At 49.9% G+C, this 21,136-nt stretch overlaps 1 protein-coding gene across 6 annotated transcripts in view, besides 13 other annotated features; it reads right to left on the bottom strand.

The window, feature by feature from the left end:
* ACTN4 (actinin alpha 4) overlaps positions 1–12,024 on the bottom strand; it is an 83,941-nt gene extending 71,917 nt beyond the window's left edge. For all 6 annotated transcript variants that reach the window (NM_004924.6, NM_001411143.1, NM_001322033.2 and 3 more), the window contains exon 1: positions 11,766–12,024. In NM_004924.6, coding sequence (NP_004915.2) covers positions 11,766–11,927 — 162 coding nt within the window. In that variant the 5' untranslated portion in view covers positions 11,928–12,024. The remainder of the gene's footprint in view (positions 1–11,765) is intronic.
* Positions 1,197–1,842: an enhancer, noted in NCBI's record as "H3K27ac hESC enhancer chr19:39148471-39149116 (GRCh37/hg19 assembly coordinates)". NCBI's record gives its function as "activates a minimal SCP1, AML or CMV promoter by ChIP-STARR-seq in naive H9 embryonic stem cells {active_cell/tissue: H9 hESC(naive)}" and the evidence as "EXISTENCE:reporter gene assay evidence [ECO:0000049][PMID:30033119]".
* Positions 3,885–3,934: a silencer, noted in NCBI's record as "silent region_10580". NCBI's record gives its function as "represses an Ori minimal core promoter by ATAC-STARR-seq in GM12878 lymphoblastoid cells {active_cell/tissue: GM12878}" and the evidence as "EXISTENCE:reporter gene assay evidence [ECO:0000049][PMID:35858748]".
* Positions 4,054–4,922: an enhancer, noted in NCBI's record as "NANOG-H3K27ac hESC enhancer chr19:39145391-39146259 (GRCh37/hg19 assembly coordinates)". NCBI's record gives its function as "activates a minimal SCP1, AML or CMV promoter by ChIP-STARR-seq in primed H9 embryonic stem cells {active_cell/tissue: H9 hESC(primed)}" and the evidence as "EXISTENCE:reporter gene assay evidence [ECO:0000049][PMID:30033119]".
* Positions 4,923–5,791: an enhancer, noted in NCBI's record as "H3K27ac hESC enhancer chr19:39144522-39145390 (GRCh37/hg19 assembly coordinates)". NCBI's record gives its function as "activates a minimal SCP1, AML or CMV promoter by ChIP-STARR-seq in primed H9 embryonic stem cells {active_cell/tissue: H9 hESC(primed)}" and the evidence as "EXISTENCE:reporter gene assay evidence [ECO:0000049][PMID:30033119]".
* Positions 6,330–6,938: an enhancer, noted in NCBI's record as "H3K27ac-H3K4me1 hESC enhancer chr19:39143375-39143983 (GRCh37/hg19 assembly coordinates)". NCBI's record gives its function as "activates a minimal SCP1, AML or CMV promoter by ChIP-STARR-seq in naive H9 embryonic stem cells {active_cell/tissue: H9 hESC(naive)}" and the evidence as "EXISTENCE:reporter gene assay evidence [ECO:0000049][PMID:30033119]".
* Positions 6,939–7,548: an enhancer, noted in NCBI's record as "H3K27ac-H3K4me1 hESC enhancer chr19:39142765-39143374 (GRCh37/hg19 assembly coordinates)". NCBI's record gives its function as "activates a minimal SCP1, AML or CMV promoter by ChIP-STARR-seq in naive H9 embryonic stem cells {active_cell/tissue: H9 hESC(naive)}" and the evidence as "EXISTENCE:reporter gene assay evidence [ECO:0000049][PMID:30033119]".
* Positions 9,342–9,421: an enhancer, noted in NCBI's record as "active region_14582". NCBI's record gives its function as "activates an Ori minimal core promoter by ATAC-STARR-seq in GM12878 lymphoblastoid cells {active_cell/tissue: GM12878}" and the evidence as "EXISTENCE:reporter gene assay evidence [ECO:0000049][PMID:35858748]".
* Positions 10,050–10,344: a silencer, noted in NCBI's record as "tiled region #11915; K562 Repressive DNase matched - State 2:TssF". NCBI's record gives its function as "represses a minimal TATA promoter and a strong SV40 promoter by Sharpr-MPRA in K562 cells {active_cell/tissue: K562}" and the evidence as "EXISTENCE:reporter gene assay evidence [ECO:0000049][PMID:27701403]".
* Positions 10,050–10,344: an enhancer, noted in NCBI's record as "tiled region #11915; HepG2 Activating DNase unmatched - State 1:Tss". NCBI's record gives its function as "activates a minimal TATA promoter and a strong SV40 promoter by Sharpr-MPRA in HepG2 cells {active_cell/tissue: HepG2}" and the evidence as "EXISTENCE:reporter gene assay evidence [ECO:0000049][PMID:27701403]".
* Positions 10,303–10,501: a silencer, noted in NCBI's record as "fragment chr19:39139812-39140010 (GRCh37/hg19 assembly coordinates)". NCBI's record gives its function as "represses an EF-1alpha promoter that drives an FKBP-Casp9 reporter gene in an ReSE screen in K562 erythroleukemia cells {active_cell/tissue: K562}" and the evidence as "EXISTENCE:reporter gene assay evidence [ECO:0000049][PMID:32094911]".
* Positions 11,685–11,764: a silencer, noted in NCBI's record as "silent region_10579". NCBI's record gives its function as "represses an Ori minimal core promoter by ATAC-STARR-seq in GM12878 lymphoblastoid cells {active_cell/tissue: GM12878}" and the evidence as "EXISTENCE:reporter gene assay evidence [ECO:0000049][PMID:35858748]".
* Positions 11,995–12,184: a silencer, noted in NCBI's record as "silent region_10578". NCBI's record gives its function as "represses an Ori minimal core promoter by ATAC-STARR-seq in GM12878 lymphoblastoid cells {active_cell/tissue: GM12878}" and the evidence as "EXISTENCE:reporter gene assay evidence [ECO:0000049][PMID:35858748]".
* Positions 19,070–20,008: an enhancer, noted in NCBI's record as "H3K27ac-H3K4me1 hESC enhancer chr19:39130305-39131243 (GRCh37/hg19 assembly coordinates)". NCBI's record gives its function as "activates a minimal SCP1, AML or CMV promoter by ChIP-STARR-seq in primed H9 embryonic stem cells {active_cell/tissue: H9 hESC(primed)}" and the evidence as "EXISTENCE:reporter gene assay evidence [ECO:0000049][PMID:30033119]".

Here is a 21,136-nt window from a genome sequence, read left to right as displayed (position 1 = left end):
CCAGAGCAGGCCGTATTTGGCAAGAACTGCTTTGTGCTTGTTTATTAAAGAGGCCCAAAACTTTCTCAACTCTAAGGTAGCTGCTAAGAGAACTCGGTGCGCTGTGAGTCTTATATTTTTATGGTCAAAGTTTGCTTCCTGTGAATCTCTGAGGTGTTTCTACAAGGCTAATAGGAGTCAAGTGTCACCCCTTACCTTCCACAGCTTCAAGCCACAATCTATTAACCAATCATCCCTCAATTGGCTCACAGCTCTCAATGGATTCAATTCTATCCTATGGCTTGTGCCTCATCAGTGTTAATGAAAGTTACAAAGGGGCTGGGCGCGGTGGCTCATACCTGTAATCCCAGCACTTTGGGAGGCCTAGGTGGGCATTACGAGGTCAAGGGTTCAAGACCAGCCTGGCCAACATGGTGAAACTCCGTCTCTCCTAAAAAATACCAAAACTAGCTGGGCGTGGAATGCATGCCTGTAGTCCCAGCTACTCGGGAGCCTAAGGCAGGAGAATCACTTGAACCCAGGATGCGGAGGTTGCAATGAGCCGAGATTGCACCACTACACTCCAGCCTGGGTGACAGAGTAAGACTCCGTCTCAAAAAAAAAAAAAGAAAAGAAAAGAAGAAAAAAAAGTTACAAAGGGAAAGGGAAAATTAGTTCAAAAAATGGCCAAGAAGGCCCTCCCCTAACCGGTCTAGGTATTTCATCTCACCCCACCATGAGACACAGTGTCGGGTGATTATAGCCGACATTCTTGAAAAAGACATTTAGAGACAGCCCTTTCTGTTTTACACAGACAAGTCCTACCACAGTCTTGGCAGTGTAGCTCAAACGATCCAAAAAAAAAAGTAACTGCCTCACAATCCTGGTGATGTTTACCGTCTGGATACCTTCCAGGACTTGAATATCTGAATCATGACTGGTTCGTAGACAGCCTGTAAGAAGGGTCGATTCATCTGACTGCCCTTGAACCGGCCTGGCAAGTTGGCTCTTCCAGACATTTTGAATTTTGAAACTGACTGTATTTCATAGGCCAGAACTGGAAGATCACAGAAGTCTTCAAATCTCTGACCCTTCCAAATGCAAGGCATACCAGTAACAGCCAAAGAAGCACTTTGTGAAAGTGTTTAATATTTTCATCCAATATATAGTTTAAGGCAAGGTACTCATTTTCTTAAAGAAAAGCAGGGAGTGACAGAGAGAAAAGGATTTGCTGTTAGATTTGGATTAGGGAGGATGTGGATTTAAAAAAAAAGTTACTTGTGCTTGGGATTTGTGGGAAATTTAGAGTTCTTTTTAATTTATCAGTGTTTGTGGAAGTAGGCAAAAGATACAGGCATATTTTGTCCTATTATTAAGAAGTCACATAGCTGAGATTCCAGTTCCAAACTCCTAGAGAAAAAAAGCACTCTTCTAGGCTACAAAGCCAGCAGCGGATTTCATGGAGTGCTCTCCTTTTTCTTCTCCCTCTCTCATGCACAAATGCACACTCCTCATCAACACAATCAACTGGCCCAACTCCTGCCCCGAGGACAGAGGGCCTTCATCCCCTACCTGGCAAGGCTGCTGTGCCTGTAGGTATTTTCCTGTGATACCAAGTGGCAGGATCTTTTTTTCTGCCCGGGGCCTAACACTCCACCATTAGCACTGCCTCTGGTATGAGGGCACTCCCCAAAACAGTAAGTAAGCAACTTGGTTTCCATGGTGATAGCAACTAAATACCTTTTACTCACACCCAGATGGAGATTGATCATAGAATAGTAATTTGTTAACCGTTACACATACTGAGGCCTTGATGACACCAACTGAAGTCAGCTTCCACCACTGCCCTTGGCCTTGGTAAAAGAAGGCCTGTCATTTTGCTAAGGCAGGCTGTAGACCCACAGTCCTCTTATTGTGACGTCCCCCTCAGGCAACTTCCCAGCATGTCCAGATGCCGAACCACCTGCGAGCTTCCTTCCAAGATGCCTCTCCTAACCTCAAACTGGCCTTCACCACCGAAACGAAGTGTGTATTTAAAAAAGGAAAAGAAAGAAAGAAAAAAGAAATGCATCTATTTCACTTCCTGCAGTCCCCTCAATCTGTATAGCTGTAATTAAGACATTATTAGAACTGGAATCAGTCATTACTACTCAGGAGGTAAGATATTAAAACTCTTTATCTTGGGCTTTTTGCAGATTAAAAGCCTGGGCAACATAGTGAGACCCAGTCTTTACAAAAAATTTAAAAATTAGTTCGGGCACAGTGGCTCATGCCTGTAACCCCAGCACTTTGTTGGGCCAAGGTGGGTGGATCGCTTAAGGTCAGGAGCTCAAGACCAGCCTGGCCAACATGGTGAAACCCTGTCTCTACTAAAAATACAAAAATTAGCTGGGCGTCGTGGCGCGCGCCTGTAATCCCAGCTACTTGGGAAGCTGAGGCAGGAGAATCACTTGAACCGGGGAGGCAGAGGTTGCAGTGAGCTGAGATCGTGCTACTGCACTCCAGCCTGGGTGACAGAGTGAGACTCCATCTCAAAAAAAAAAAAAATTAAAATTAGCTGGCCATGGTGGTGCACACATAATCCCAGCTACTAGGGAGGCTGAGGCTGAAAGATCCCTTGAGCCCAAGAGTTCAAGGCTGCAGTGAGTTATGATTAGGCCACTGCACTCCAGCCTGGGTGACAGTGAAACCCTGTCTCTAAAAAATCAAAACAGAACAAAAACCAAATGTGTTCCCTTCAGACATGGAAAACACAAAGTGGGGTATACTGCCTGCCTTCTGTGCTTCCTCTGATCCACCTAGACTGTGGCTTCCACCCACTCTCAAAAGACATCAGGGAGGGGAAAAGATGAAAAGAAAAACCCACTAGAAAGCTAGTGACAGACATCACTCAGCCCCACACCTTTGGGGGGGAAACTTTAAAAAACATAAAACAAACCACAAAGTCTTCTTTATTCCTGCCTGAAGCTGAAGACACAAATGCTATTGTATTGCTGGTGTTCTAGCATCCCATTCAATCATTGCAACACCATCCACGATATTTCCCAAGATGACTTCATTGTGTTCTGCAGGGTAGTAACTGCCGCTTCCAACTACTTCTGCCCCATGTGGATAGTTCCACTGGAAGACAAAGAATCTGTTCTGCTCTGATATTTGGAAGAAAAACATTTAAATAAGCCTTGTTAACTCAGCAGGAGGGCACTGCTTTCCTTTCAAAATGTAGGGTTCAAATCCGATGAAGGGGTGGCAGTGTGCTTTCTTCGTGGGAGGGGCCCAACTCTAAGAAGAAAACTGGAGCCTTAAGAGAAAAAGTTGGCTGGGCGTGGTGACTCACACCTGTAATCCCAAGACTTTGGGAGGCTGAGACCAGACTGGGCAACACAGCAAAACCCCATCTCTACAAAAACACAAAAATCAGTCAGGCGTGGTGGTGTGCACCTCTAGTCCCAGCTACTTGGGAAGCTGAGGTGGGGGGATGGCTTGAGCCCGAGGTCAAAGCTTCAGTGAGCCAAGATTGTTCCACTGCACTCCAGCCTTGGTAAAAAGAGTGACACCCTGTCTCAAAAAAAAGGAACAAAGGCAAGAAAAACGAAGAAAGAAAAAAGTTGTGTGAGGAACAAATGATAAACCCACATTTCTTACAGCTAGCCCTCTGTATCCATGGGTTCTCTATCTGTGAATTCAACCAACAATGGATCGAAAATACTGGAAGAAAAAAAATGAATGGTTGCATCTGCACTGAACATGTACATATTTTTGTCATTATTTCCTAAACAGCACAGTGTAACAACCATTTACGTAGCATTTAGCATTAGGTTATAAGTAATCTAGAGATGATTTAAAGTATTCAGGAGGATGTGCATAGTTAAAATGCAAATTACACATCGTTTTATCTTACATAAGGAACTTGAGCATCTGTGGATTTTGGTATATAAGGGGGTTCCTGGAACCAATCCCCCACAGATACTGAGAAATGACTGTATTTTCAATGTGTCCTGGTTTCTTACAAAACCTCAAAAGCACTAACACTTGAAACTGAAGATGAATCAAGCATCATCCAGTCATGAGCCATATGTTCGAGTCTAGTATGGCCGGATGACACACAGAGCCAAGAGGGGCTGTGTGCTCCTGGACAAGGTGCTGCCCTGCCCACCTCGACCAGATGAGATCAAGTTTTTTTCCCAAGTGTGACATACACACATGGAAAATTTTAAGGGTTATCTACACCTTACATTACACCCTGAATCACATTGAGAAAGTTATTTCCTTTGATTCTCTTGTAAACCTGATGACTTCAAAGAGAAAGTCTCTGCTTGGTGCTGGTGGGTCTTTAACACCTCACCAACACTTGCCAATCCCTTTCTAACAAAGGGAGCAGGCCTCAAGCCTGGGGGGCCTTCAGCCCGAGTGGTAACCACCTGGAAACAACACTGTTTTGTTTTCAATGTGTTTATTTTTGCAGTTTCCTTCTATTATATTTATGGCCAGGGGAGCTGGGTTTTCCAGTTGCCATACTCTTGTCAGTTTTCCTTTCAAAACTTAATTTAAAATGCAAACTGATTCAAAGGAAATTATTATGTGTCTATAAAAGTGGTTATGGAAAATCACAAATGGCTGCAGTTTACGAAGGAAGGGGATAAGCACAGGGGGACTGCTCTGGCTGGGGAGCCTCACTCCTGGGGGAGGGGGAGAGAATGGAACTCATCCCAGGAAGGAAGGAGCCAGCACAACAACAGGTGGCAAACAGCAAATCCCACGTAAACTCACTCCACTCGCCTTCAGATAACACTTGCATAAATCACAACCAAGAAAAAGGCCACTGACCTCTTCCAGAGTAAACGCTGTTCAAACTAAAGGGAAGGCAGGCAAATTACACCAATCAGCTTCTAAGACTTTCCACGGACATTCCAAGTTAATGCCTCTCTTGTTTATGGAGAAAGGGGAGGGGAGGGACGTGAAAAAACACAACCAAAAAAAGGCACAACACCAAGACAAATGCCTCGGGGATTTTTATAATCCCAGGGAAACTGCTACTTGGATAAAACTTCCCATGCACTGATGTAAGGATGCTCTTGCCAGTTAAATATATGCAAAGATTTAACTCCTTTTCTTTTTCTTTTTTTTTTTTTTTTGAGACGGAGCCTTACTCTGTCGTCCAGGCTGGAGTGCAGTGGCGTGATCTCAGCTGACTGCAACCTCCACCTTCCAGGTTTGAGTGATTATCCTGCCTCAGCCTCCCCAGTAGCTGGGATTACAGGGGTGCACCACCGTGCCCGGCTAATTTTTTGCATTTTAGTAGAGATGGGGTTTCACCATGTTCGCCAGGCTGGTCTTGAAGTCCTGACCTCACGTGATCCACCTACCTCGACCTCCCAAAGTGCTGGGATTACAGGCGTGAGCCACCACACCCGGCGATTTCACTTTCTGGAGGAGGCGGGATCCTTCCCTGGGTCAGGTGGTTAATTTCTCCCCTTCATAAGATCCTTCTTTAAACAGAGGCTGGAATTTAAAATGATTCTGTTTCTCTTTGATTCATTGAAAGTTACACTCCTTGATGCCTGGGATACCGAGTAAAATGTAACTCATAGACCTTCTTGAAGAAAAGTTAAGTGATACCTGGGCCACTTTCAGACACTTTATAACAAATTCTGGCGCCTAGGCTGCCAACACTGTAAAACTAAGTTTCCTTGTAACTTGCTTTGATGTTTCCAAGTTTAAACCCATTCTAAAGAAGACTAATGAGCTCTCAAACTACCCAGTGATAGAAAGACTTCTTTCAAATCTCCACGGATGACAGTATTTGTATCTGCTCAAGTAGAAGCTTCCGTCTCTCTTGTAACAGGTCAGTGCTTCAGTTACCACTGCCATTGAATTACCCACTTGCTATCACTTGCCTCTTATTTCCATAAAAAAAGAAACGGAGGAAAAAACTGTTTAAGTTTTACCTTGTTTAAAAGTAACACGAGTGCTTTTGTTATTCTGTAAACTAAATACATAAATGAAGGCAAAGGAAGGAAACTGAGGGAAGGGAACAAAATGTGAGTGATGAAAACACGGAGTTCATTAAATGAAGGAATAAAGATAAAGCCGGGGAAAACACTGCTCTAGGATATACTAAGGCAAGGGAAGAGATAAACATGTTGATATTTCAGCTATTCAGAAAACCTGAACGAGCAAGTGATACTAGAGCAAACAGCTGTTCACTAATTATATTTGCCCTTCCCTTCTGCCCTTCAAAAAAGTAAAAGCAGCAGCAAGGGAATCTTTTTTTTTTTTTTTTAAAGAACAACCCTAAGGTCTGGTCAAAGGCTTGTACAATTCCCAGCACAACATAAATCAGTGTAGCAAAAACGGAAAGTGTTCATCTCAACGGTTTCAAATTCCTTGGGCCTTCCCAAATCAATTCTTTTTTGGCTCCATTCTGTTTGCTAACTAGCACTGGCAGATAACTTGTGCTACACTCAGTTCACTCTGAAAAAGGGCGCTGTCTGGCCAAAGTCTGCCATGACTGGAGCATATGTTGAAACAGCAGAACTCCCCACCCAGGAGGCTTAGACTTAAAACTTGTCCCCGCTCCCCTCTGTCATCTGATTTTTTTTTTTTTTTTTGAGATGGAGTCTTGTTCTGTCACTCAGGCTGGAGTGCAGTAGCGCGATCTTGGCTCACTGCAACCTCCACCTCTCAGGTTCAAGCGATTCTCCTGCCTCAGCCTCCCAAGTAGCTGGGATTACAGGCACCTGCCACCATGCCCAGTTAATTTTTGTATTATTGGTAGAGACGGGGTTTCACCATGTTGGCCAGGCTGGTCTCGAACTCCTGACCTCAGGTGATCTGCCCACCTCAGCCTCCCAAAGTGCTGGGATTACAGGCGCGAGCCACTGCGCCCGGCCATAAGACCACATTTTAACTGACCTCCCTGACTGTGTCAGAGCTTAATAGCACCAGCACTACTTGGATATTCACACACCACCCTGCTTCCTCCAACACTTTCCACTGAACTTTCCCCCCCACAAGGCAGCCCACTTGGGGCCAAGCAGTCGGCTGCCGTTAAATGGAGGCTTTTAGCACCAGTTCCAACTGGAGGGTGAGTCAGCTCCCTGCCACCAAAGTAGCCTCCCTGTTGGTCTTAGAAGCCGGAACCAGGGAGGGTGTTTCAAAAGGCAGAGGGCAATCCTGGGCCCACACCCTGGATTGTTTAGGATTAGGTGAGTGGCAGGTGCCACTCCAGGGCACCAGCCAGATCTCAACTCTTAGCCAGGTGAGTGTAAGTGACCCTGCAGTCCCAGGCCATCTTCCCATACCCCACCTTTTCTTCAGTCATTAGAAGAGTCAAGTTCTAAAATACATTCTGGAGAGGATGAGGGGAGAGAACAGAGTGCTAGCAGCTGAGTGGCCTCCCCTATCCCTCTTACAAGAGGGCAAACAGAGTATACTTGCCTCTCACACATATTTACACAGTCTTTTTTCTAGATAACAGTTGAGTTTGAGTTTGGTTCCTTTTTTTTTGTCAAGTGTGTTACTCAATTTTGAAAACTGTTAGTCCTAGCCAGATCCTAAGAGGCAAGCAATTAGAGTAATGGAACAAAGTAACAGATGGCTACTTTGGGGCCTCCATTATCAGCCTTTAAAAAGAAAAAAAGATCTACTTCAAGAAAAACAAGGCAGGGCACAGTGGCTCACGCCTGTAATCCCAGCACTTTGGGAGGCCGAGGCAGGCGGATCACTTGGGGTCAGGAGTTTCAGACCAGCCTGGCCAACATGGTGAAACTCTCTGTCTCTACTAAAAACACAAAAATTAGCCAGGCACGGTAGCACACGCCTGTAGTCCCAGCTACTCAGGAGGCTGAGGCAGGAGAATTCCTTGAACCTGGAAGAGGTTGTGGTGAGCCAAGATCACACCACTGCACTCCAGCCTGGTGACAGAGTGAGGCTCTGTCTCAAAAAAAACAAAACAAAACAAAACAAAAAAAACAAATACAAAAAACAAACAAAAACTTTCAAATAGTTAACTCATACCTAATACAGCCACATGGGCAACAAGAGCAAAACTCCGTCTCCAAAAAAAAAGCCAACGGTCAGGGTTGAAACATTGAGGCCCCTGAAATAGTGATGTTTCAATGAACACGAAAACTTAGCAAGTGAGTCATTTCTTCTTGCTGTAATGAGATTTGGCATAACCTTCAAGAGATCTCACCCTTCCAGGACAACAGAGGGTGATGAGGTTACCCAGGCCACTTTTAGAAATTGGGAGAGGGAACTGTGGCCCAGAACTGTAATTGCTCAAGAATTTGCTCAAAGACCAGAACAATGCTTCTCCATCCCGCCAGGAGAACACTCATGGCCCTCTCATGTAAAAACCGTTGCATAACCTACTTACGGGTTACAGGGGTCCCTAGAAGTCAGAGCAAAGGGCTTCCAAGCAGAAGTGAGACACACGTCCCCTCTGATTTGGGCCAACTCTTGCTTAATTCCTAGAAGAATTCAATTCTACCCACTTTGAGGGCCTACAGCTGTTCTGGATGCATATTTTTTTGGAGTATGCATGTACAGAACCCCCAGGACTGTCATTCTTCCCGTGCCCAGTGGCTCAGCCTTGGAGAGGCAAGAAGGGCAATCTGTCATTCACTAAAGCAACACTGCAATGTAGAAAAAACCCAGCCAGTCTGGGTGCAGTGGCTCACTCCTGTAATCCCAGCACTTTGGGAGACCGAGGCGGGCGGATCTCCTGGGGTCGGGAGTTTGAGACCAGCCCGACCAACATGGAGAAACCCCGTCTCTACTAAAAATACAAAAAGCCAGGCGTGGTGGCGCATGCCCGTATTCCCAGCTACTCGGGAGGCTGAGGCAGGAGAATCGCTTGAACCCGGGAGACGGAGGTTGCGGTGAGCCAAGATCACGCCCGGGCAACAAGAGCAAAACTCCGTCTCCAAAAACAAACAAACAAACAAACAAACAACCCAGCCAGCCTGGGAGTGCAGGGATGTTTCTTAGTAGGAAGGTAGAGAGCCACACAGATTGGTGTATTCCTTTCCATTACTCCTTCCCCCATTTCAAAAAGAATCCCTACCCCATAACAGGAAAGGGCACAGAGGTGAAGCAGTAGTTTCCCCCACAGAGCAGCTAAGGGTAAATATTTGCTGGAGGAGGTGTAAAGCAGGAGGTACTAGAATCTGGCTCTGGCTGAGACACGAAAGCAGATGGTATTAGCGGACTCTGTGAGCCACCCTTTTCCCTCAAACCTGCCCGGCCCCAGAGGAAGGGAGCTGGGAGGTAAGAGAATGACACATGGCAGCAAGGCCTGGAGGTTCTGGGGAGTCCTGGTTTCCACCCAGGGCCTGAATGGTGCCCCAGCCTCACCCTGTAGGCAAGGGACACTATAACCACGAACAAAGCCCACACCCTAACTCTCGGGAGGGAGTGAAACCCGGCTCGCAAAAGGAGTCACTTGAGGAGTGGCAGAAGACAGGAAGGGAGAGAAAAGGAAGGTCCCCCCACCCTTATCACCTGAGAAAAAAGGGGGAGGGGTTTATTTTCTCCAGCACCTTCAGCTGCAGAAGACAAAGCCTAGACATTCTCAAAACCACCACTGTGGCCCCTGCTCCCTCCCAACTTTCCAGGTCTCTTGGCAACCTTTTCCAACCTGGCACTGCCTCAGGCAATAAATTATTGTTGAGACTCCAGAACAGATCTCACCTTCCCCTCAAAAAGTGAATTTATGCCAACTATCGCAACCTGTCCATCCTGCAGTAGGTGGGGCCACGGATAAGGACACCCCTCCCACCAAGCCACTGCCATGCCCCTCAGTTACTACGGATGAGGAAATTCAAGCAACGCTGGTAATGGACCCAAGGTTATGCCCGGCCCCACCTCAGGCTGCCTTGGAACAGCTGCTCCTTCCACCCTTCCCACCCTTTCCCCTCCAGCCTGGGCTAGGCTGCCTGTGCCAAGCTCCTGGCCACCAACTCGCGCCCTCGAGAGGCTTCCAGTCACTCCCCACTCTGCCAGGTCACCACTCAAAGCCCTGTAGCCTGTTCCTGAAAAATCTCCACCAAACTCACTCTCCCAAACCTTCAGAGCCCTGTCCAAAGTCCCAACTCTACACACATCCCTCTTTATTAACAGAATCACCGCAGGGAACCCTCGGATCCCTTTGCATTTTGCAGATAACAAAACTGCCCGGAGAGTTCAAGGGTCTTGTCCAAGGCCACAGAGCGAATCAGTAACAAATCTGGAAAGAAAATCCAGATCTCCAGATCCCACGAAATGCTTCCAACTTCAAGTACCTCCCACCCATTTCACGCACAAAACTTCTGAACAACCCCTTCCCCCCACACACACCCACTCACCACGCTCCTTTCTTTAGCTCTTCCTGCACACACTCAGAGCTCCCCCCTCAACCACACTGGATTTATCCCCCCCCCACAGACACTGACACCTCGCTCGGGGATCCCACTCCACTTCTGATCACCTTTTCACTGCTGTGGGGCCCTACCAAGTTGCCCCCCCCGCCCCCCAAAAAAACAGTGCCACCTGAACACAGTCTCTGCTTCAGGATCCCTTCACCTACCTCCGGTCTCTCCAAAAAAGACACAATTCTTCCTGGACACTCTCAACGCTTCCTCCCCAAACTCATTCTGCCTGCACGACACACACACGCTCTCCAGTCCCGGGACTGCACCTCCAGGAGCCAGCACCCCCTCCTCAAATTCCTTTCTCAGTCTATCCATTACGCATTCCCTTTCTAATGAGACTTTCATTTTCCTAAACGAACCTCTCTCCCATTATCCACCATTCCAGCTCACCCTCCCTCCCACCGATCTCACCTTCTCCCTCTACACTTCCTCATTCTCTCCAACGCTTTAGCTTTTCAGCTTCCCATCAATTCTTTAGAAATCCCTCCCCAAATTATCCCCACTCTCCGTATCCCCTCTACTTCGGCTTCTCCATCCCTCATCAATTCCTCTTATTATTCCTCCTATCTCTTAATCTTCTCCCCTTTGGAACAGGGCACCACAAATAAATCTCACCCCCTTCAAAAACGTCTGATTCACGGGCCCCTTAACTTCTTCCTTCCGCACCCCACCCTCCTCAGACCCCCAGTCCTGGCACCTCTACCCTCCTCACACCCTAAGCCCATGTCTTTTCATGCTCAATTCTACCCTTAGCCCCTGTTTTCATCTTCCCAGCCTCCCTAGTCTTCCCACCCGTCTTCAGACCCCACAATCTCCACTCCATCCTCACACTTGATTCTTCATCCCCTTTATAACTCCCCCAACCTGAGGCTCCCCCAATTCCAATCTCCTTCAGATCTTTCTGCTCTCCAAATAACCAACCCCTCCACACTCAAGCTCCTCCTCACACTTCCCAGACCCAGAAATTCCCTTCTCAGCCTCCCCTGATTCTCCTCCCAGCACCCCCAACCCATGCTCCGACCCTTCAAGCCCGCCTCGGATCCCAGTTCCATTTCAGCCTGCCCAGTCATCTCCTCGGTTTCCCCTAATGGCACGCCCAGACCCTCCAAATCCTTCATCAGCCTTCCCGATTCCTTTTATTTGACTCCCATATTCCCCACCCAGCCGCCAATTCTCTTTTCAGATTCCCAATTCCTTCCTCTAGCTCGGCGATTCCTCCTCAGGACTCCAATTCCCTTCCCGGACCCGCCAATTCCTTCTCGGGACCCCCCCGTTCCCATCACAGACGCTCCAGTTACCTTTCAGGACCTCCCACCCCTCCCCGGGCCCCCTCAGAAAAGCCCCTCCAGCCCGTCCGGCCCGCGGGCCGCGCACCTTGCGCTGCTGCTTCTCCCAGGCCGGGTCCAGCAGCAGGTCCCGGTCCCAGTCGTCCTCCTGGGCCATGTAGTCGCCCATGCTGCCCCCGCCGCCAGCGCCATTGCCCGCGCTGCTGGGGCCGTACTGGTACGACTGGTTCGCCGCGTGGTAGTCCACCATTCCGCCGCCTCTCGCTCGCCCACCAGCCTGTCCGCTCCCGCCTCAGCTCCCGCCCCTCTGCCCGAGCCGCCGCCGCTACCGCCGCTTCAGCTGCTTCAGCCCGCCCTCCGCCCGCGCCTGCGCACTGCCCGCCGCGCCTGCGCACAGCGCCGAGGTTGCCGCCCTCCCGCGCGCGCGCGCCTGCCAAACCAGAAAAGGCACCAAGGCCGCGCTCCGGAGCTTGGCGCCTGCGCAGAGTCCCGCTTCCTGGCCGCCCGACTCAGCCCGGGGGCGAGCCGCGCCCCCTCTCCGGCGTGAACGCGCGCGTCGTTCGCGTATGGGCGGGGCCAGATCATGAATGATTCATAAGGGCAGGCCCCGCCATCGGACCTGAACCAGCTCAGGCTTGGAATGCACTGCACCGGGTTCCCATTCAGCGACACAAATTCAACAAATATTTATTGAACACCTATTCTGTGCCAGACTATGTTTTACGCAGGCACTAAAAACAGAAAAAAATCCCAACTTTCATGAAACTACCTTCTAGTAAAGGAAGCCACATACACACAAATCTACTTTTATTTTTATTATTTTTTGAGACGGAGTCTCGCTCTGTCTCCCAGGCTGGAGTGCAGTGGCGCGATCTCGGCTCACTGCAACCTCCGCCTCCCGGATTCAAGCAATTCTCCTGCCTCAGCCTCCCGAGTAGCTGGGAACACAGGCATGCTCCACCACACCCGGCTAATTTTTGTATTTTTTTAGTAGAGACGGGGTTTCACCATGTTGGCCAGGCTGGTCTTGAACTCTTGAGCTCAAGCGATCCTCCCGCCTCAGCCTCCCAAAGTGCTGGAATTACAGGCGTGAGCCACCGCGCCCAACCAACACACAAATTTTTTTTTTTGAGACGGAGTTTCGCTCTTGTTGCCCAGGCTGGAGTGCAATGGCGTGATCTGGGCTCACTGCAACCTCCGCCTCCCAGGTTCAAGCTATTCTCCTGCCTCAGCCTCCCGAGTAGCTGGGATCACAGGCATGTGCCACCACTCCTGGCTAATTTTGTATTTTTAGTAGAGACGGGGTTTCTCCATGTTGGTCAGGCTGGTCTCAAACTCCCGACCTCAGGTGATCCGCCCACCTCGGCCTCCCAAAGTGCTGGGCTTACAGGCATGAGCCACTGCGCCTGGCCTCAACACTCAAAATTTTAAAAAATATGTAGACAGGCACAGGGGCTCACACCTGTAATCCCAGCACTTTGGGAAGCTGAGGCGGGAGGATGGCTTGAGCCCAAGAGTTCAAGGCCAGCCTAGGCAACATAACAAGAACCTGTCTCTACAAGAAATGTAAAAATTCACTGGGCATGGCTGTGTGCACCTGTAGTCCCAGCTACTCAGGAGGCTGAGGAAGGGACATCACTTGAGCCCAGGAGTTCCAGTCTGCAGTGAGCTGTGATCACACCAATGCACTCCAGAAGCGAAATCCTGTCTCAAAAATATACATAAAAGTAAAAAATAGGTAGTATTGTATATTCCAAGGTGTTGAGTATTTGGAGAAAAATCAAGCATGGGCTGGAATGCAAATAAACTACTCAGGTAGGCTTCATGGAGAAGGCAGACATTTAAACAAAGGTGCGAGCCACTGCATCAGGAAGCATCTTAAATTTAAATATTCAGCCAGGCACTGGTGGCTTACTCTTGCAATCCCAGCACTCTGGGGAGTCAAGGCTGGAAGAGTGCTTGAGCCCAAGAGTTTGAGGCCAGACTGGGTAACATAACAAGATCTCATCTCTACAAAAAAATGTTTACATTAAAAATAAATGGCCGGGCGCAGTGGCTCATGCCTGTAATCCCAGCACTTTGGGAGGCCGAGGCAGGCAGATCACGAGGTCAGGAGTTAGAGGCCAGCCTGGCCAACATGGTGAAACCCCGTCTCTACTAAAAATACAAAAATTAGCCGGGCTTGGTGGCATGCACCTGTAATCCCAGCTACCCAGGGGGCTGAGGTAGGGGAATCACTGGAACTCGGGAGGCAGAGGCTGCAGTAAGCCGAGATCGCGCCACTGTACTCCAGCCTGGGCGACAGAGCAAGACTCCGTCTAAAATAAAAATAAAAATAAATAAATAAATATCCGGCCAGGTGTGGTGGCTCACGCCTGTAATCCCAGCACTTTGGGGGGCCGAAGTGGGCGGATCACCCCAGGTCAGGAGTTCAAGACCAGCCGGGCCAACGACTCCGTCTCTACTAAAAATACAAAATTAGCCAGGCATAGTGGCACATGCCTGTAATCCCAGCTACTCAGGAGGCTGAGGTAGGAGAATAGCTTGAACCTGGGAGACGGAGGTTGTGGTGAGCCAAGATTGCACCATTGTACTCCAGCTTGGGCAACAAGAGCGAAACTCCATCTCAAATAATAATAATAATAAATATCCAAAATAGAGTTCCTGATCTTCCCCCCAAGCTTGGTCATCCCATCCCACAGTCATCCCTCTTCAATTCGTGCACCTCCAGCCTTGCAGTTGCTGAGGCTACAGACCTTGCGGTCATCCTTAATGCCTCTTTGTCTTCACAACCCCATCCAGTTCTTCAGGAAATTCTGTCATTCCATCTTGAAAGAATACACAGAACCCACCCACTTCCCCCTGCCCCACTGCGCCACCCAGGTTCTGTCTACCCTCGCCTCGCCTTCCCTTGGGCCATTGCAGCAGTTCCCCACTGTCTCCCAGCTCCCCCTCCCACCCCCTTCTCTTTCCCAGGAGAAGCTGGAGGGAGCCTGTGAATGAATGACTGAGTCAGATCACATTCCTCCCTCCTCTGTTCAAACCTTCCTGTGGCTCCACGCTCAGGGTAACAGTCAAAGTCAAGGAAAGGAAGAAAGGCTGCAGAGGAGTCTGCCCTGCCCTGCCTTGCCCAGCCCAGCCCAGCCCAGCCCAGTGTTTTTTTCCTTTTTTTTTTTTTATTGGAGGTGGAGTCTCGCCCTGTCACCCAGACCAGAGTGTAGTGGCATGATCTCGGCTCACTGCAACCTCCGCATCCCGAGTTCAAGCGATTCTCCTGTCTCAGCCTCCAGAGTAGCTGGGATTACAGGCATATGCCACCATGCCCGGCTAATTTTTATATTTTTAGTAAAGAGGGGTTTTGCCATGTTGGCCAGGCTGGTCTTGAACTCCTGAGCTCAGGTGATCTGCCTGCCTCAGCCTCCCAAAGTGCAGGGATTACGGGCATGAGCCACTCTACCCGGCCAGCCCAGTGTTTTAGTTTTTTGTTTTTGGAGACAGGGTTCTCAATATTTTGCCCAAGTTGAGCTCAGACTCTTGATTCTCCTACCTCAGCCTTCTGAGTAGCTGCGACTGTGAACACGTACCACCACATCCAGCTCAGCCAAGTTTTGTTGATATTGTTCTTGGTGCTGGTGGTGGTGATGGTGTTTGACACAGCAACTCGCTATGTCACCAGGCTGAAGTACAGTGACACCGTTCCAGTTCACTGCAGCCTCAAATTCCTGGGCCCAAATGATCCTCCTGCTTTAGCCTCCCAAGTAGCTGGGACTGCAGGTGCACCCCACCACGCCTGGCTAATTTCTATTTTTTTTTGAGACGGAGTCTCACTCTGTCGCCCAGGCTGGAGTGCAGTGGCACGGTCTTGGCTCACTGCAAGCTCCGCCTCCCTGGTTCACGCCATTCTCATGCCTCAGCCTCCCAAGTAGCTGGGACTACAGGCACCTGCCACCATGCCCAGCTAATTTTTTGTATATTTAGTAGAGACGGGGTTTCACCGTATTAGCCAGGATGGTCTTGATCTCCTGACTTTGTGATCCGCCCACCTCGGCCTCCTAAAGTGCTGGGATTACAGGCGTGAGCCACTGTGCCCGGCAATTGCTAAATTTTTTGTAGAGACAAGTGGTGGGGGTGAGGGGAGTGTGTGGGGGTGGTCTCGCTAGGTTGCTTAGGCTGGCCTGGAACTCCTGGCCTCAAGTGATCCTCCTACCTCAGGGAATGCTGGGATTACAGGCTGGGATTATGTGTGAGCCACCCAAGCCCTGCCTCAACCTAGTTTATGAAACAGTTTAGAGTCAGCTAGCATGGTGGCTCACACCTGTAATCCCAGCACTTTGGGAGGCTGAGGCGGGCAGATCACTTGACACCAGGAGTTTGAGAACAGCCTGGACGACATAATGAAATCCCGTCTTTACTAAAAATACAAAAATTAGCCGGGTGTGGAGGTGCACGCCTATAATCCCAACTACTCGGGTGGCTGAGGCAGGAGAATTGCTTGAACCTGGGAGGTGGAGGTTACAATGAGCTGAGATCACGGCACTGCACTCCAGCCTGGGTGACAGAGCAAGACTGTCTCAAAAAAAAAAAAAGCCTTCGAGTACCCCCCACCTTGCTGTCCCTCAAGCACACCAGGTGCCAAACTCAGCCTCTGATGAGGCCTTTGTACTTGTGAGGTGGAGTCACGACTCCCAGGAACACTTTCCCCAGACACTGAGTCCCTAGGGCTCACAGCCCCATTTCCTATAGGTCTCTGTGGAAATACCACATCCTCAGTGAGACTTTCCCGGATCACCTGATTTAAAATATCATCCCATCGGGCATGGGATGTTCAAGGCCAGCCTGGCAAACATGGTGAAACCCTGTCTCTACAAAAAATACAAAAGATTAGCCAAGTGTGGTGTTGCATGCCAGTGGTCCCAGCTACCTGGAGGGCTGAGGCAGGAGGATCACTTGAGCCCAGGAGGTCGAGGTTGCAGTGAGCTGAGATCGCACCACTGCACTTCAGCCTGGGTGACAAAGTGAGAACCTGTCTCAAAAATATAAATAAAATAAAATATTGCCAGGTGCGGTGGCTCACGCCTGTAATCTCAGCACTTCCGGAGGCCGAGGCAGGCGGATCACAAGGTCAGGAGATCGAGACCATCCTGGCTAACATGGTAAAACCCCGTTTCTACTAAAAATACAAAAAATTAGCTGGGTGTGGTGTCACGCGCCTGTAGTCCCAGCTACTCAGGAGGCTGAGGCAGGAGAATCACTTGAACCCAGGGGGCAGAAGTTGCGGTGAGCTGAGATCGCACCACTGCACTCCAGCCTGGGCAACAGAGGGAGACTCTGTCTCAAAAAAAAAAAAAAAAAAAAAAAAAACCAACCACCATGGTTTATGGTTTCTCCAGCTATGGGAGTTGCAAGGATCCTTCTCTGCTTCTCTGCCTCTGCCAAAGGAACGCGAAGGGATGGATCCAGTGACAGCAGAGGAAGGGGACGAGGCCCAGGCAGCAGCCCGATGTCCTAGGAGATGCCAGGACCTGGCCAAAGACCCCCAGGCGTGTTGGCTGTTTCCAGAGCTGGGCTGGAGTGGGGCAGGGCAGGGCGGTCTCCTCCAGCCTGACTTGAAGAACTAGCTCAGGACTCTTATGCATGGTCTGGCCTGGGGGAAAAACTCCTCAGGGGATGGGCCATCTGCCCCTCGCTGCAGCTCCTGGTGGACTCTGAGAAACCGTCCAGACCAAGTGCTCCCAGATGGAGGCGACAGCCCCAGCCATTGAAGTTTAAATTAAAGCCTCCCTTTAATTGTCAGCCTTGAGGCTACTTCCTGGCAGCCATCTATGGGCAGTGTAGTAATAATAGCTGATGTGTCTATTGATGTCCAAGGGACCAGGAGGGGCTCTGAGAGAAGGGGTATGGCCAGTGGGCCCTACAGGCGTTTTTAGGTTTACCATTGAACCCGTGAGACCTCAGTCAGAATTTATTAAATGCTGTATCCCATTGTTAACACTACTTCAGGGAAGGCAACTAGAGAGGGTGTGTCCTCACAGGGCGGGGACATGAACAAATACTGCAATGTCTAGAGATGTCTCAGGAAGCAGCTGGAGCAGCAGCCCTGAACCCCAAGTGAGCATGACAAGCACCCACCAGGATGGAATTTGGAGACAGAACCAATTTGAGTTTCTTTTATTTTTATTTATTTATTTATTTATTTTGAGATGGAGTCTCGCTCTGTCACCCAGGCTGGAGTGCAGTGGCACAATCTTGGCTCACTGCAACCTCCACCTCCCGGGTTCAAGCAATTCTCCCACCTCAAGTGTCCTGAGTAGCTGGGATTACAGGCACGCGCCACCAGGCCTGGCTATTTTTTTTTTTTTTAAGACAGAGTTTCGCTCTTGTTGCCCAGGCTGGAGTGCAATGGCGCGATCTCGGCTCACCCCAACCTCCACCTCCCAGGCTCAAGTGATTCTCCTGCCTCAGCCTCCCGAGTAGCTGGGATTACAGGCGTGCGCCACCACGCCTGGTTAATTTTGTATTTTTAGTAGAGACGGGGTTTCTCCATGTTGGTTAGGCTGATCTTGAACTCCTGACCTCAGTTGATCCATCCGCCTCGGCCTCCCAAAGTGCTGGGATTACGGGCATGAGCCACTGCGCCCCGGCTATTTTTTAATTTATTATTTATTTATTTATTATTAGTTTTTGAGACGGAGTCTCACTCTGTTGCCCAGGCTGGAGTGCAATGGCATGATCTTGGCTCACTGCAACCTCTGCCTCCCGGGTTCAAGCGATTCTCTTGTCTCAGCCTCCCGAATAGCTGAGACTACAGGCATGCGCCACCACACACAGCTAATTTTTGTGTTTTTTAGTAGAGATGGGGTTTCACTATATTGGACAGGCTGGTCTTGAACTCCTGACCTCATGATCCGCCCACTTCAGCCTCCCAAAGTGCTGGGATTATAGGAGTGAGACACCACGCCCAGCTTATTTTTTTGAGACAAGGTCTCACTCTGTCGTCCAGGCTGAAGTGCAATGGCGTGATCTCAGCTCACTGCAACCTCCACCTCCCTGGTTCAAGCTATTCTCCTGCCTCAGCCTCCTGAGTAGCTGGGATTACAGGCACCCGCCACCAAGCCCAGCTAATTTTTGTATTTTTAGTAGAGGTGGGGTTTCACCACGTTGGCCAGGCTGGTCTCGAACTCCTGGCCTCAGATGATCCACGCGCCTTGGCCTCCAAAGTGCTGAGATTACAGGCGTGAGCCACTGCACCCACCAAGCTGTTCTAAACTCTTTGCAGGCATTAACTACTGACGTGGGTACAATTACTACTTTCCCCAGCTGTAAAACAGGTACAGAGAAGACAACTCACATACCCTGAGGCGGCTGGGCTGGGGAGTGAACTCAGGCAGTTTTTCTCCAGAGCCACCTCCTAGCTGTTCGGAGTATGAATGACCCTCTGATAGTGAAAGCAGCCCAGTGAGGCAGGATGAGATGTGGCTCCCAGAGGAGGGGAAAAAGGTCATTTCCTCTTCCCTTGCAGAGCAGCCATGGCCAATTGTGCAGGTTGTATCCTGCATAAGGGCACCTGCCAAGTGGGTAACTGGGAGTTGTCCCCACCCAGAAGGGGTGCCTTTTGCTAATGTGCCCAAGTTCATGGGTGGTAGAGGCATCCCAGTCCTTTTTATTATTATTTTTTTGAGGCAGTTTCGCTCTTGTTGCCCAGGCTGGAGTGCAATGGCGCGATCTCGGGTCACTGCAACTTCTGCCTCCCGGGTTCAAGCGATTCTCCTGCCTCACCCTCCCAAGTAGCTGGGAATACAGGCGCCCGCCACCACGCCCGGCTAATTTTGTATTTTTAGTAGAGACGGGGTTTCACCATGTTGGTCAGGCTGTTCTCAAACTCCTGACCTCAGGTGATCTGCCTACCTCGGCCTCCCAAAGTGCTGGGATTACAGGCATGAGCCACTGTGCCAGGCCTCCCAGTCCTTTTTATCCCAGTGAGCTGCAGAGGCACACTTTTGTTCAGTCCCCAGGATTTAGGCACTCCCTGGCTACTGGGGCCCTGCTGAGGTCTGGGCCCCAGGGCAAGGGGTGTCTGCTCCCACAGGCAGGGCCCTCTGAGGAATGCTGGCTGTGAGTGCACACAGGGAGGTCAGGCCGGCTGGCAGCTTGGGTACCACAGCTGCCCTCTCCAAGGCAACGCTTATGCACACCAGCATCCATCAATAAATCACCAAGGGGCAGCTGCCAGTCTACTCTAAGTAATGAACATCTATTAGGGCATTTCTTTTCCTTTTTTGGAGACAGGGTCTTGCTGTCACCTGGGCTGGTGTGCAGTGGTGCAATCATAGCTCATTGCAGCCTCAAACTCCTGGGTAGCCAGGACTACAGGCACATACCACTGTGCCTGGCTAATTTTTACTTACTTACTTTTTTTTTTTAATTTATTTTTTTGAGACGGAGTCTAGCTCTGTCGCCCAGGCTGGAGTGCAGTGGTGCGATCTCAGCTCACTGCAAGCTCCGCCTCCCGGGTTCATGCCATTCTCCTGCCTCAGCCTCCAGAGTAGCTGGGACTACAGGCGCCTGCCTAATTTTTTTGTAGTTTTAGTAGAGACGGGGTTTCACCGTGTTAGCTAGGATGGTCTCGATCTCCTGACCTCGTGATCTGCCCACTTCGGCCTCCCAAAGTGCTGGGATTACAGGCGTGAGCCACCGCGCCTGGCCAACTTACTTATTTTTGAGACAGGGTCTCACTCTGTTACCCAGGCTGGAGTGCAGTGACGCCATCTTGGCTCACTGCAACCTCTGCCTCCCAGGCTCAAGTGATCCTCCCACCTTAGCCTCCAGAGTAGCTGGGATTACATGTGTGTACCACCATGCCTGGCTATTTTCTTTTGTAGTTTTTTGTAGAGACAGGGTTTCACCATGTTGCCCAGACTCGCCTCGAACTCCTGAGGTCAAGCAATCCATCTGCCTTGGCTTCCCAGTGTTGGGATTACAGGCGTGAGCCACTGTGCCTGGCCAGGCCCAGTTAATTTTAAAACTTTTATAGGAACAGGGTCTCGCTTTGTTGACCTGGTCTCGAACTCCTGGCTTTCAGCAATCCTCCTGCTGCAGCCTCCCACTGTTGGAATTACATGCATGGACCGCCATGCCCAACCTGAGCTAATTTTTACTTTTGCGTAGAGGGATTCCAGTCATCCTCCTCCCTTAGCCTCCCAAAGTGCTGGGATTACAGGCATAAACCAGCCTCTACTGGGTCTTTTTAATTCCTGCATTCCCCCAACCCCCTAGCCCTCCAGGCAATATGCTCACAGGGGAAAAGCACTGCCTAAGGGCCACTGGGAGTGCCCCAAATTCCTCAGGTAAGAAGGGAATGAACATGTAAGGTGAGTCAGGTCTCCTGTCAGGTAACACTAACCAGGGGAGCGGCATGCGACTTGGAAAGAATGGTGTGGCTGAAGGAGCTGTCTACCTATG

The sequence above is a fragment of the Homo sapiens genome, chromosome 19 (assembly GCF_000001405.40).
Source record: "Homo sapiens chromosome 19, GRCh38.p14 Primary Assembly".
NCBI lineage: Eukaryota > Metazoa > Chordata > Mammalia > Primates > Hominidae > Homo > Homo sapiens.
This window is presented reverse-complemented; position numbering and strand designations above follow the sequence as displayed.